This window comes from Homo sapiens, chromosome 1, assembly GCF_000001405.40.
Source record: "Homo sapiens chromosome 1, GRCh38.p14 Primary Assembly".
In the NCBI taxonomy this organism is placed as follows: Eukaryota; Metazoa; Chordata; class Mammalia; order Primates; family Hominidae; genus Homo; species Homo sapiens.
In genome coordinates this window covers 9536986-9549621 of record NC_000001.11, presented here as the reverse complement: position 1 = coordinate 9549621, position 12636 = coordinate 9536986, and the positions used below count along the sequence as shown (strand labels likewise).

Here is a 12636-nt window from a genome sequence, read left to right as displayed (position 1 = left end):
GGTTTGTGATGTACTGGAGGCCTTGGTGAATGTTTTTTCATTGTAGATGGCATTCAACCTACTATGAGCCCCAACACTGGGAACTCCCATTGATCCCACCATCAGTTCATCCCCCCCGTTGATCCCACCATCAGTTCCTCCCCGCCATTGATCCCATCAGCAGTTCATCCCCCGCATTGATCCCACCATCAGTTCATCCCCCCCCATTGATCCCACCATCAGTTCATCTCCCCCATTGATCCCACCATCAGTTCATCCCCCCCATTGATCCCACCAACAGTTCATCCCCCCCATTGATCCCACCAGCAGTTCATCCCCACATCTCTTTTCTGCCTTGCTTGCCCTGGGGAGCTTGCAGGCAGAACTAGGTGCCTTTCCTTCCTCTGGTCCCCATGCTCCTTGACATCAAGCCAATGGGACCGCTAGGAGTTAACAAGATTGGCTCAAAGTGGGAGTCACTGAGTGTCCTTCCCAAGCATACCACCCAGTCCCTTCTCATCCTGCTGGCTTGGGCCAATGCACCAGCCTCTCACTTGTAGGAGGCATCTGGCCGCAGAGCAAGCTACCAGTCTCCCTGCCTTACAAGCTCTCTCAATCTGTAGCCCAGACCTACTAGGGGCCGGGGACAGAGTTGGGGACAATAATAGTAAAATCCTCTCTGCCCACACACCCCAATGTTGACACCCACAACCCGTTCTTCTCTCATAGACAGTCTGGTCAATGGCAGCAGGGCAGGTTCTTCCACCTAAGTCTTAGACTAGGATCCTCTTGGTTCATCTGAGGGCTCCAGTAGCCAGTGCTCAGACAGTAGGAAAAGTCATATTCAACCGCCAGTTACATGCTGACACAGCGTTAGCCTCACATAGTTGGAAAATGGACTAATCTGACTGGCAAGCAGTATTTTAGACAAGGAATCTCCAAACTGGGATACATACTCTAAGAGATGTGCACCATGACCTACTGGCATACAGAAAGAAATAACATTCTATTTATAACCTCCACCATTTAATTTCTATTTTGTTTGTTTGCTTTTTGTTGTTGAGACAGAGTCTCACTCTGTCACCCAGGCTGGAGTGCAGCAGCGTGATCTCGGCTCACTGCAACCTCTGCCTCCCAGGTTCAAGTGATTCTCATGCCTCACCCTCATGAGTTCCTGGGATTACAGGCGTGTGCCACCCTACCTAGATAATTTTTGTATTTTTAGTAGAGACAGGGTTTCACCATGTTGGCCAGGCTGGTCTTGAACTTCTGACCTCAGGAGATGCGCCCGCCTGGGCCTCCCAAAGTGCTGGGATTATAGGCGTGAGCCACCGCGCCCAGCCCATTTAATTTCTATTTTGTGTATAGGTCTTATAGTCTGTATAAAAGTAACAGGGTAATATAATTATACATAAGATATGCACAAACATGTTAATCATAGCAGTGTATGATTAAAGTTTGAAGGCCATGGCTGGGCACAGACTCAAACCTGTAATCCCAGCACTTTGGGAGGCCAAGGCAGGCAGATTGCTTGAGCTCAGGAGTTCTGAGACCAGCTTGGGCAACATGGTGAAAACCCATCTCTACAAAAACTACAGAAATTAGCCAGGCGTGGTGGTGCGCACCTGTAGTCCCAGCTACTCTAGTCTCAGCCACCCAGCTACCCCGGAGGCTGAGGTGGGAGGATCGCTTGAGCCTGGCAGGTCAAGGCTGCAGTGAGCAGTGATCATACCCCTGCACTCCAGCGTGGGTGACAGGAAGGGAAAAACAAAAACAAAAACAAAAACAAAATCAAAACAAAACAAACAAGAAACCCACAAAAACTTAAAAAAAAAAAAAAGTTTGAAGGCCACTATTCTAAACCAGTAGTTCTCAATTGGGGCAATTTTGTCCCCACCCCAGTAATAAAATCTCAAGACATTTTGGGTTTTGAAATGGGGGAGGGGGGTTACTCATATCTAGTGGGTAGAGGCCTGGGATGCTGCTAAATATCCTACAATGCACAAGACAGCCCATCCCTCACAGACAAATAATCATCCAACCAAAGTTGAGAAACCCTATTCTAGACCAATAAAATGGGCACTATTTGAAGACCGTAAAATGGACTGGTGGCACTGCTGGTTGCCTCCCCAGCATCCATCCCTCTCTTCCTCTGTCTTAACAAGATCCCTAATTTCCTTTTTTTTTTTTTCTCTTTTGAGACAGAGTTTTGCTCTTGTTGCCCAGGCTGGCGCAATCTCAGCTCACTGCAACCTCCGCCTCCTGGGTTCAAGCAATTCTCCTGCCTCAGCCTCCGGGGTAGCTGTGATTACAGATGTGTGCCACAATGCTTGGCTAATTTTTGTATTTTTAGTAGAGATGGGGTTTCACCATGTTGGCCAGGCTGGTCTTGAACTCCTGACCTCAGGTGATCTGCCCACCTTGGCCTCCCAAAGTGCTGGGATTACAGGCATGAGCCACTGCGCCTGGCGAAGATCCCTAATTTCTTAAGTCACACAGAGGACAGGATTGAACTCATGTCTAGTTTTGGCCTGACTCACTGAAGCATGTCCACATCATAACATCTACTTTGCCTTGTTTAGGGATGGACATATGATTTCAGCCCAAGTACTCAGCATAATTTCCCTGGGAGCAATGACTGGTTTAGAGCAAGGGGTACGTGTCCTAGTGGATCCAGAATTACACTGAAGACTTGCTTAATGGTGGGAGAAATACCAGGAGCTGCTGCTGGAAGCCCTTCTGTGGCTATGCAGGGCCAGCCTTAGAATGAAGCAGGTTACTGGAGGCCAAGCAGGCGTGGGTGGGCCCCTCCTGGTGACACTGATGCACTGCTCAGCTAAGCCCTCACCTGAAGCCTGTGCTCCCTCTAGAGTTCAGGTTTTTGTACCCATAAGCAAGCCGGTTTGAAGTTGAATCTTCTATTACTTGCAACTGAACACCCCCTAAATGAGCCTAGTCAAAAAAAATGTATACCTAAACTTTTCAAGAAAGCAATTAAAGAGTTTTACTAACATAAATAATCTTCCAAAGGCCAGCTGGGACTCATGCTTGTCTTAACAGTTCTGAGGAAATACCCTGGACGTTAATTTAATTTTGCTCCTAAGGTAATACTGTTCTAGTCAGTCACTGATGCCAAAGTGCAGAGAAAATTCTCTGTGGGGCCGGGTGCGGTGGCTCACGCCTGTAATCCCAGCACTTTGGGAGGCTGAGGAGGGCGGATCACGAGGTCAGGAGATCGAGACCATCCTGGCTAACACGGTGAAACCCCGTCTCTACTAAAAATACAAAAAATTAGCCAGGTGTGGTGGCGGGTGCCTATAGTCCCAGCTACTCAGGAGGCTGAAGCAGGAGAATGGCGTGAACCCGGGAGATGGAGTTTGCAGTGAGCCGAGATCGCACCACTGCACTCCAGCCTGGGCGACAGAGCGAGACTCCGTTTCAAAAAAAAAAAAAAAAAAAAAAAAAAAATTTCTCTGTGTGATATTCCCTTCACAGCAAACATCTGAAGGATTTGAATCCAGTGGAGGAAAGCTAGGAACAATTGTTAAACTACATGTCTAAAAGCAGTCACGAGGGATATTCTTTGAAGTCTATTTGCCTAATTTTCTAAAAAGAAACTACTAATTGAATTTTTTCTGCACCTTTTCTGTTTTCAACTATGTATTCCTTTTCTGTTTTTTTAGACGGAGTCTCGCTCTGTTGCCCAGGCTGGAGTGCAGTGGCGCGATCTCGGCTCACTGCAAGCTCCGCCTCCCGGGTTCAAGTGATTCTCATGCCTCAGCCTCCCAAGTAGCTGAAATTACAGGCCTGCGCCACCATGCCCAGCTAAATTTTTTTTGTATTTTTAGTAGAGATGGGATTTCACCATGTTGCCAGGCTGGTCTTGAACTCCTGACCTCAAGTGATCCACCTGCCTCGGCCTCCTTTTAAAGTGCTGGGATTGGCTGGGCGCGGTGGCTCACGCCTGTAATCCCAGCACTTTGGGAGTCCCAGGCGGGTGGATCACGAGATCAGGAGTTCAAGACCAGCCTGGCCAAGATGGTGAAACCCCATCTCTACTAAAAATACAAAAAAAAAATTAGCCAGGCGTGGTGGCAGGCGCCTGCAATCCCAGCTACTCAGGAGGCTGAGGCAGGAGAATCGCTTGAACTCGGAGGGCGGAGGTTGCAGTGAGCCAAGATCTCGCCACTGCACTCCAGCCTGGGCGACAGAGTGAGACTCCGTCTCAAAATAAAAATTAAGTGCTGGGATCACAGGTATGAGCCACCACACCCAGCCTATGTATTCCTTTTCTTAAAAGATAAAAATACGCTCCCCTAGAATCACTTGAAGCCGGGAGGCAGAAGTTGCAGAGAGCTGAGATCACACCACTGCACTCCAGCCTGGGTAACAAGAGCAAAACTCCGTCTCAAAAACAAACAAACAAAACAAAAAAAACCACCAAAAACAAAAAAACTCCCCTCCCCATTCCTCTACCTTCTCTCATTATTCCTTTCCAAAACTGAAGTTTTGTATTTATTACATGAAGATACAGTTAACCTTCTAATCCTTTTACACCCATGCCTCCCTAGTTTAATTTTTCCCCTTGTGGCTTAGGCACCTCACCTCCAGTTGACAGCAGAGTAAAACTACAACGTTACTACTATAATATATACTGGGATTTTAAAAAAAGTAACTTTATGTGATCAGAAGTCATAAAATTTTAAATTATGCACACAGAATTGTGCTTTTTAACTCTGAGTTTAAACTATCAAGGAAAATTTGTAAAAACCAACTGTCTTCAACAACAGCCTCTGCTCCCTATGCATACATGCATATCGGGCACTAAAACCAAGGCCTGTATGCTCTTTCTGATAATAATCACTACCCCACTGATGGTAAACTGCTTTCCAGGCTCACAGCTTATCCACATTTTGCCAACAAATGATACTGCCAGACATCCTGCAATCCTAATCTTTGGAGGTTTGGTAACCGCCATTTCACCTGCTACCTCTATCGTGCTATTTAAAAAACATTAGGTGCTTTTCTGTATACACTGTAAATTCTTGGAAAGTTTTACTTGAAACCTGGCATTGCCTGGGCTCGGTGGCTCACGCCTGTAATCCCAGCACTTTTGGAGGCTGAGATGGGCAGATCACCTGAGGTCAGTAGTTCGAGACCAGTCTGGCCAACATGGTGAAACCTGGTCTCTACTAAAAATACAAAAAACAGCCGGGCATGGTGGCACGTGCCTGTAATTACAGCTCCTCGGGAGGCTGAGGCACGAGAATTGCTTGAACCCGGGAGGTGGAGGTTGCAGCGAGCCGAGATGTCACCACTGCACTCCAGCCTGGGCTACACAGAGAGATGCTGCTTCAAAAAAAGAAAAAAAAAAAAAACTAACCATTAGCTGATAAAGATTTAATTTGCAGGACAAGTACCTGAGTATACCTGGCAACAGCTGCCCATACTAGGTGGGAAAACATTGAATTTTGAAAATATCTGTGTCTTATTATAGTTTAAGTTTTTCATTTTTTGTTTTTTGTTTTTCTTCTGAGATGGAGTCTCTCTCTCTCTGTCTCCCAGGCTGGAGTGCAGTGGAGCAATCTCAGCTCACTGCAACCTCCACCTCCCAGGTTCAAGTGATTTTCCTACCTCAGCCTCCCACGTAGCTGGGATTACAGGCATGCACCACCATGCCCAGCTAATTTTTGTATTTTCAGTAGAGATGGGTTTTGCCATGTTGGCCAGGCTGGTCTCGAACTCCTGACCTCAGGTGATCCACCCGCCTCGGCCTCCCACAGTGCTGGCATTACAGGCGTGAGCCACCACACCTGGCCTAGTTTAAAATCTTAAAGATATACTATATTCCCATTAAAATACATTTTAAAGGCTAGGATGGCAAAACAAAAAAGCATGCCATAAAAATAAGAGCCAAAGCATCCAATCCAGGATCAACCTCTAAATCTAAGGACAGCTTAGCCCAGCTATTTCAGGTACTGAGTAGATCTAAATGGGCACTGTGCTGTTAAGTGGCTGCCCAGCAGATGAAGGACATCACTAGCACTAACAGACAACCAGAACCCCCATGCTATTTGATGGGGCAAATTTATAGGATTTTCATCTTTGGCAAATCAAGCCTACATACAGAAGGGCCACCTCAAAGCACTTCTGTGTTCTTCTTGATGAGGTGGTTTAAACAATAGAAAAGGAATGACAGGACTGGGCCCAGTGGCTCACACCTGTAATCCCAACACTTTGGGAGGCTGAGGTGGGCGGATCACCTGAGGGCAGGAGTTCGAGACCAGCCTGTCCAACATGGTGAAACCCCGTCTCCACTAAAAATACAAAAATTAGCCGGGCGTGGTGGCGTGAGCCTTTAATCCCAGCTACTCAGGAGGCTGAGGCAAGAGAATCACTTGAACCCAGGAGGTAGAGGTTGCAGTGAGCTGAGATCGCACCACTGCACTCCAGCCTGGGCAACAAGACTGAAACTCCGTATCAAAAATAAATAAATAAATAAATAAATAAAAATACTTTTTCACGCAGGGCGTGGTGGCTCACACCTGTATAATCCTAGCACTTTGGGAGGCCAAGGCAGGTGGATCACTTGAGGTCAGGAGTTCGAGACCAGCCTAGCCAACGTGGCAAAACCCCATCTCTACTAAAAATACAAAAATTAGCCGGGCATGGTGGCACATGCCTGTAATCCCAGCTACCGGGGAGGCTGAGGCACGCGAATCAAATTGCTTCAACCCGGGAGGCGGAGGTTGCAGTGAGCAGAGATTGCACCACTGCACTCCAGCCTGGGCGACAGAGTGAGGCTCCGTCTCAAAAAATAAAAATAAAAATAAAGAAATGCTTGTTCAGTATCACAGTATCATTAATTAGCAACAGTATTAAACTTGTTTGATGTTATAGTTTCCAATGGCTATGCAATAAACAAGAGAAATGTGACAGATTTTTAGTGGGGACTCTGACTTCTTTTCAAAGGAAGTGCACTTCGTTTTCTGGAAAGACGCCAGCTTAACAACAGCAGCAACTAGTTACTTGGAGCAAGGCAGCACATATTCCACCGGACTAGGTGGGACCTCTGGGTGGCCTCATTTTAACCATACAATACAGCCATTTTACACTCAGCTCCTTTCATGTTCTTCCCTAACAGAAAGTAAAATATTTTAGGCTAGTGAGAGTGGATCAAAATCCAATTAGTTACTCTGAAAACATACTTTTGGAAGCTGTCTTTTCTTTCTTGAGTCTCCAATTGCTGCCAAGACAGGAACGGAAACTTGTTAAATACAATGGCTTCAGGCGCCACCCTAATGAACTACCTACATCTTAATCAAGCAGGAGAGCTGTGCTGGCCACTGCAGATGTACTCCATCACAAGGTATAAGGCTGGTGCCCTAGGAGGAGAATCTGGCAGCCAGAGGGCACAGGGAAGGGTACAGAGGGAGATTCAACAAGACAGGGCCATCCATCTCACAGTGAGCCTCAACAGAGGCTGCTCCAGCATGCAACTCTCCTGGTTTGGAATACAAAGAAAAATTGTAAAAGACCACCTCACTGGCCGGGCGCAGTGGCTCATGCCTGCAATCCCAGCACTTTGGGAGGCCGAGGTGGGCAGAGGGGGTCAGGAGATCGAGACCATCCTGGCTAACACGGTTAAACCCCGTCTCTACTAAAAATATACAAAATTAGCCGGGCGTGGTGGCGGGCACCTGTAGTCCCAGCTATTCGGGAGGCTGAGGCGGGAGAATGGCGTGAACCCAGGAGGCGGAGCTTGCAGTGAGCCGAGATGGCGCCACTGCACTCCAGCCTGGGAGACAGAGCAAGACTCCGTCTGAAAAAAAACAAAAAGCAAAAACCCACCTCACTAAAAACAGTAAGTCAAAATCACTGAGCAGAAATTCCTTTTTTTTTTTTTTTTAAATGATCCTTCTTGGCTTAAAAAACGTGTGAGACAAAAAAAAAAATGGCCAAGTTGTTTAAAATTCCCAAGAAAGACAAATTTATATAGAGTGGCTTAATTTAAGAATGCTTCCCCCTTGTGTTACTCTGAAAGGAAGTCTCTGCCGGGCATGGTGGCTCACGCCTGTAATCCCAGCAATTTGGGAGGCCAAGGTGGGCCATCACTTGAGGTCAGGAGTGCCAGCCTGGCCAACATGGCAAAACTCCGCCTCTTAGCAAAAACACAAAAAAATTAGCTGGGCGTGGCCGGGCGCAGTGGCTCACACTTGTAATCCCAGCACTTTGGGAGGCCGAGGCGGGCGGATCACGAGGTCAGGAGATCGAGACCATCCTGGCTAACACGGTGAAACCCCGTCTCTACTAAAAATACAAAAAGCTGGGCGTAGTGGCGGGTGCCTGTAGTCCCAGCTACTCGGGAGGCTGAGACAGGAGAATGGCGTGAACCCGGGAGGCGGAGCTTGCAGTGAGCTGAGATGGCGCCAGTGCACTCCAGCCTGGGCTACAGAGCGAAACTCCGTCTCAAAAAAAAAAAAAGAAAAAAAAAATTAGCCAGGCTTGGTGGCGGGGCCTGTAATCCCAGCTACTCGGGAGGCTGAGGCAGGAGAATCGCCTGAATCCGGGAGGCGGAAGTTGCAGTGAGCCCAAAGATCGCACCACTGCACTCCAGCCTGGGCGACAGAGGAAGACTCCCTCTCAAAAAAAAAAAGGAAGTCTCAATGGAGACATGGAGGGAAGGGTTGCAAGGGAATGAATGACAGGGAAGAGATGAATGAGAAACTCTTCCAATCTATGAAGACCCACCGAAGTTTTTGGTTAAAGTAACCTGGTGACTGCCCACAATACAAGTACAAAAAAAGCTCAGGGACGCTTTCATCAGTCATCTTCCAAGATAAGTTTCTCAACCATTGTTTGTTGTAAGGAACATATCCAGGTAGGAATCCAGGCTGCAACTACTCAAGCCAAGATGATCATCCCAGAATAAACTATTTTATGCAAAATATCCTACACTCAAAAATTCCTGTGCCAGGCCGATGAGGTCCTCAAATTAATACTCCAAATATCTGTAAGACTCCGAAAGGACCCCAAGCCACCGGCTGTGATAAAGGAAAAAAGAAAATTACTAATACTCAAAAATATTTTACCTTCTATTCTCGGCGGGAGGTGACAAGGGGAGGTGGCGAGGGGTACCATCTCCCTTCCTAACCGCAGAACTCAACCTCCTAAAAATGCATTGTCTCCGCTGGAAAAAAGGTGCCTGACCATAGACCTAATGCAGCTTTCAAAACAAGGAACACCTTACAATTCTGCGGTCTCTGGCGTTGGAAGCGTCTACCAGCCGGCGAGAAGTGTCTCAACACACCTTCCAGACCTCATATGAGTTCGGGTCCCTGGCTTAGCCACCCCGCGTGTGGCCGCAAGCATCACCGTTCACCAGCACCACCCAGGCCTTGCTGACGTCCAACGTCCGCAGACCTTTTTGCCCGTCCGGATGACCTCCCGCGCTGCCCTGAGGAACCTCGGGCACACCCGAGCATCAGCGATCCTACCACGGGCTCTGAGGCGCTGCGCTTCGGGAGAGGCCCCAGGAGAAGGGGGCGGGGGAGGGGGGGCCGCGCCACAGCGTCCAGGCTGGACCGCCGCCGAGCACCACTCACCGGCCACTGACTCTTCAGAATGGGGAAAAGCTGGGGACGCCGCGGGGAGGACGGGCGGCGGGGCACAGCCGCCCTCGGGGCTGCGGTCAGGACGTAGGGGTGAGGAAGGCCCGACCCCCTCCCTCGGCCCTGCCCACCAGTCCCCGACGCCGGGACTTCCTCCTCCCGAGCGCCGGCGCCGTAGCCCGGGGAAGGCCGGTAACCGCCGCGGGAGGCTGGGGCCGCGCCCGGGGCGAAGGCCGAGGGGACCGCAGGCGGTGGGGCGCGCGCGGCTGGGCCCGGGAACTCACCCGCCGGCGAAGAGGTGAAGCAGCGTGTTCTCCTTCTGCTGGCCGCCCGTCGCCATGGCCGCGCCGGCTCCGCGGCCCGTCGCCGCCCGGTGGCGAGAGCGCGTGGCGGCTCGAGGGATGCGCGAGGTCGCCGGGTCTTGTCTCCCCGCTGCCCTCAGGGGGCTGCCGGCAACGCCTCCATGCGCGCGCGGGCTCCAACGCCCGGCTCTGCTCGGCCCGCGCCTTCCGCGGCGTGGCCGCCGGCGCCTCACCGGCCTCTGCGGCGCGAGCCCGGCGGGGAGCTAGAGCCCGGCGCGCGGCCGTCACGTGGCGGGGGCCGGACCGTGACGTCACGGGCGCGCGAGTCTGGGGCGGGGCGTGACGGGGGTGTGGACCCAAATTTCGAGCGCTCATTGGTTAGGACGCGGATGTGGGCGGGGAGGTTGCGCAGTTCTGGGGCGGAGCCAGCCCCGAGCGAATGACTGGGGAGAGGGGCTGGCCTAGGCCGGAGCGTGGAGGCAGTGGAAACTGGCTGTGACTGACTGGTCCTCGCTCCTCAGAGAAGCCTCGCGAGGCCCTAGGCCTTGCCTTATTTTAAAAGTTTACTTTGTGATATTTACGTGTGCAAAAGGTGTACAAATTACGTGTTACATCTCACACCTCTGTACTCACCACCCCGTTTAGGGAAACAAAAACATAATCTAAAAATCTATAATCTAAACAGCCTTAGATAATCAGTGAGGCCCTCACGGTGGCTCACGCCTGCAATCTCAACACTTTGGGAGGCCGAGGCGGGCGGGCGGATCGCCTGAAGCCAGGAGTTACAGACCAACCTGTCCAAGACGGCGAAACCGTGTCTCTACTAGAAATACAAAAGTTAGCCGGACGAGGCGGCGCACCCCTGTCATCCCAGCTACTTGGGTGGCTGAGGCTGGATAATCGCTTGAGCCCGGGAGGCGGGGGCTGCAGTGAGCCAAGATCTTGCCACTGCACTCCAGCCTGGACGACAAAGCGAGACTCTGTCTCAAATAATTAATAATCATTATCATTATGTGGATTTTTGATCTCCCTATAAGTAGTAGTATATGCTGCGTATATTTTGCAGTATGCTTTTTGCTTCTTTTCTGATCATCTCCAGCCCAGACCTAGATATCCAAACTGCTTCTCTCAGCCTATGTCACTGGGTCATTGTCATACTCAACCTGACATCTTCTAATCTCCAGGTCTCCCCCAGATGGAGACTTTCCTGGCCGCCTTTGCAGCGCAGTCTGTCACACGACTATAGAACCAGGGCTTCTGCAGTTAGTTTGTTGATTTATTTAAGTTGTCCTTCCCATACAGGAATGTAAGCTTCAGGAGAGCAGGGACCTTATTTCTTTTGTTCACAGTTGTTCCTGACACAGTACCTGCCACCTAGTAATGCCCAAGGAGCTAATGAATAAAGGTCCCAAATTGAACTTATCATTCTTCCCCTCCCCCAAACCTGCTCTACCTCTATTTCCTGTCCTGGCAGTGACACCACTGACTGCACAGGCACCAGTGCCAGAAGCTTTCCTGTTACCTTGGACTATGTCTCTCTGTCTGTCTCTCTCTCAGCAGACCACCATTCACCTGCAGAACGTACCAACCCTTTCTCTTCCGTCTCTCAGAGCTCCGGAAAGCTGTACCTTGACCAGAACAAGCAGTTAGATGTCCTGTGTGTAAACATAGAGAGCTTAAGTAGGAGGGAATTGTGTGGAAACGTGGGAGCTAGCCAGCCAATCTGTATTTGATTGCTGGGACTCTTTAAATAAAAACAGCTCTTAGGAGCAGTCCTCCAAAATGCAAATACAGTGGTTACTATTAAAGCCATTGCTCCCAGGCCTAGGAGAAGGGGAAGCCATACTAGGGCATGAGATATCTGAGAAAAAGAAGTAAAGAAAACCCAGCACAGTGGCCCACTCCTGTCATCCCAGCACTTTGGGAGGCTGAGAAGAGTGGATGACTTGAGTCTAGTAGCTCAAGACCAGCCTGGATAACGTGGCAAAACCCTGTCTCTACAAAAGAAAAAAAAAAGTAAAAATAAATAATTTTTTATTTTTATTATATGTTTTTTTTAATTTTTATTTATTTATTTTGAGATGGAGTCTTGCTCTGTCACCCAGGCTGGAGTGCAGTGGCACGATCTCGTCTCACTGCAACCTCTGCCTCCCGGGTTCAAGCAATTCTCCTGCCTCAGCCTCCTGAGTAGCTGGGATTACAGGCATGCACCACCACACTGGGCTAATTTTTGTATTTTTAGTAGAGACAGGGTTTCACCATGTTGGTCAGGCTGGTCTCAAACTCCTGACCTCGTGATCCGCCCACCTCAGCCTCCCAGAGTGCTGGGGTTACAGGCGTGAGTCACCGCACCTGGCCTATTATTTTAAGAGGAGGCCTCATTCTGTCACCCAGGCTGGAGTGCAGTGGCACCATCTTGGCTCACTGCATACTCCACCTCCCAGATTCAAGCGATTGTCCTGCCTCAGCCTCCTGAGTAGCTGGGATTACAGACATATGCCACCATGCTTGGCTAATTTTTGTTGGTTTTTTCTTTTTTTTTTTTTTTGACACGGTGTTTCACTCTTGTTGCCCAGGCTGGAGTGCAATGGTGCGTTCTCGGCTCACTGCGACCCCCACCTCTTGGGTTCAAGCGTTTCTCCTGCCTCAGCCTCCCGAGTAGCTGGGATTACAGGCGCCCGCAACCATGCCTGGTTAATTTTTGTATTTTTAGTAGAGACAGGGTTTCACTATGTTGGCCAGGC

At 49.7% G+C, this 12636-nt stretch overlaps 1 protein-coding gene across 1 annotated transcript in view, besides 5 other annotated features; it reads right to left on the bottom strand.

The window, feature by feature from the left end:
- SLC25A33 (solute carrier family 25 member 33) overlaps positions 1–10157 on the bottom strand; it is a 45709-nt gene extending 35552 nt beyond the window's left edge. Inside the window, exon 1 of the mRNA NM_032315.3 lies at positions 9875–10157. Within this exon, the coding sequence (NP_115691.1) occupies positions 9875–9930 (56 nt within the window). The 5' untranslated portion in view covers positions 9931–10157. The remainder of the gene's footprint in view (positions 1–9874) is intronic.
- Positions 7777–8276: an enhancer, noted in NCBI's record as "H3K4me1 hESC enhancer chr1:9601405-9601904 (GRCh37/hg19 assembly coordinates)". NCBI's record gives its function as "activates a minimal SCP1, AML or CMV promoter by ChIP-STARR-seq in naive H9 embryonic stem cells {active_cell/tissue: H9 hESC(naive)}" and the evidence as "EXISTENCE:reporter gene assay evidence [ECO:0000049][PMID:30033119]".
- Positions 9302–9431: an enhancer, noted in NCBI's record as "active region_129". NCBI's record gives its function as "activates an Ori minimal core promoter by ATAC-STARR-seq in GM12878 lymphoblastoid cells {active_cell/tissue: GM12878}" and the evidence as "EXISTENCE:reporter gene assay evidence [ECO:0000049][PMID:35858748]".
- Positions 9502–9861: a silencer, noted in NCBI's record as "silent region_222". NCBI's record gives its function as "represses an Ori minimal core promoter by ATAC-STARR-seq in GM12878 lymphoblastoid cells {active_cell/tissue: GM12878}" and the evidence as "EXISTENCE:reporter gene assay evidence [ECO:0000049][PMID:35858748]".
- Positions 9882–10401: a silencer, noted in NCBI's record as "silent region_221". NCBI's record gives its function as "represses an Ori minimal core promoter by ATAC-STARR-seq in GM12878 lymphoblastoid cells {active_cell/tissue: GM12878}" and the evidence as "EXISTENCE:reporter gene assay evidence [ECO:0000049][PMID:35858748]".
- Positions 10098–10392: an enhancer, noted in NCBI's record as "tiled region #9854; K562 Activating DNase unmatched - State 1:Tss". NCBI's record gives its function as "activates a minimal TATA promoter and a strong SV40 promoter by Sharpr-MPRA in K562 cells {active_cell/tissue: K562}" and the evidence as "EXISTENCE:reporter gene assay evidence [ECO:0000049][PMID:27701403]".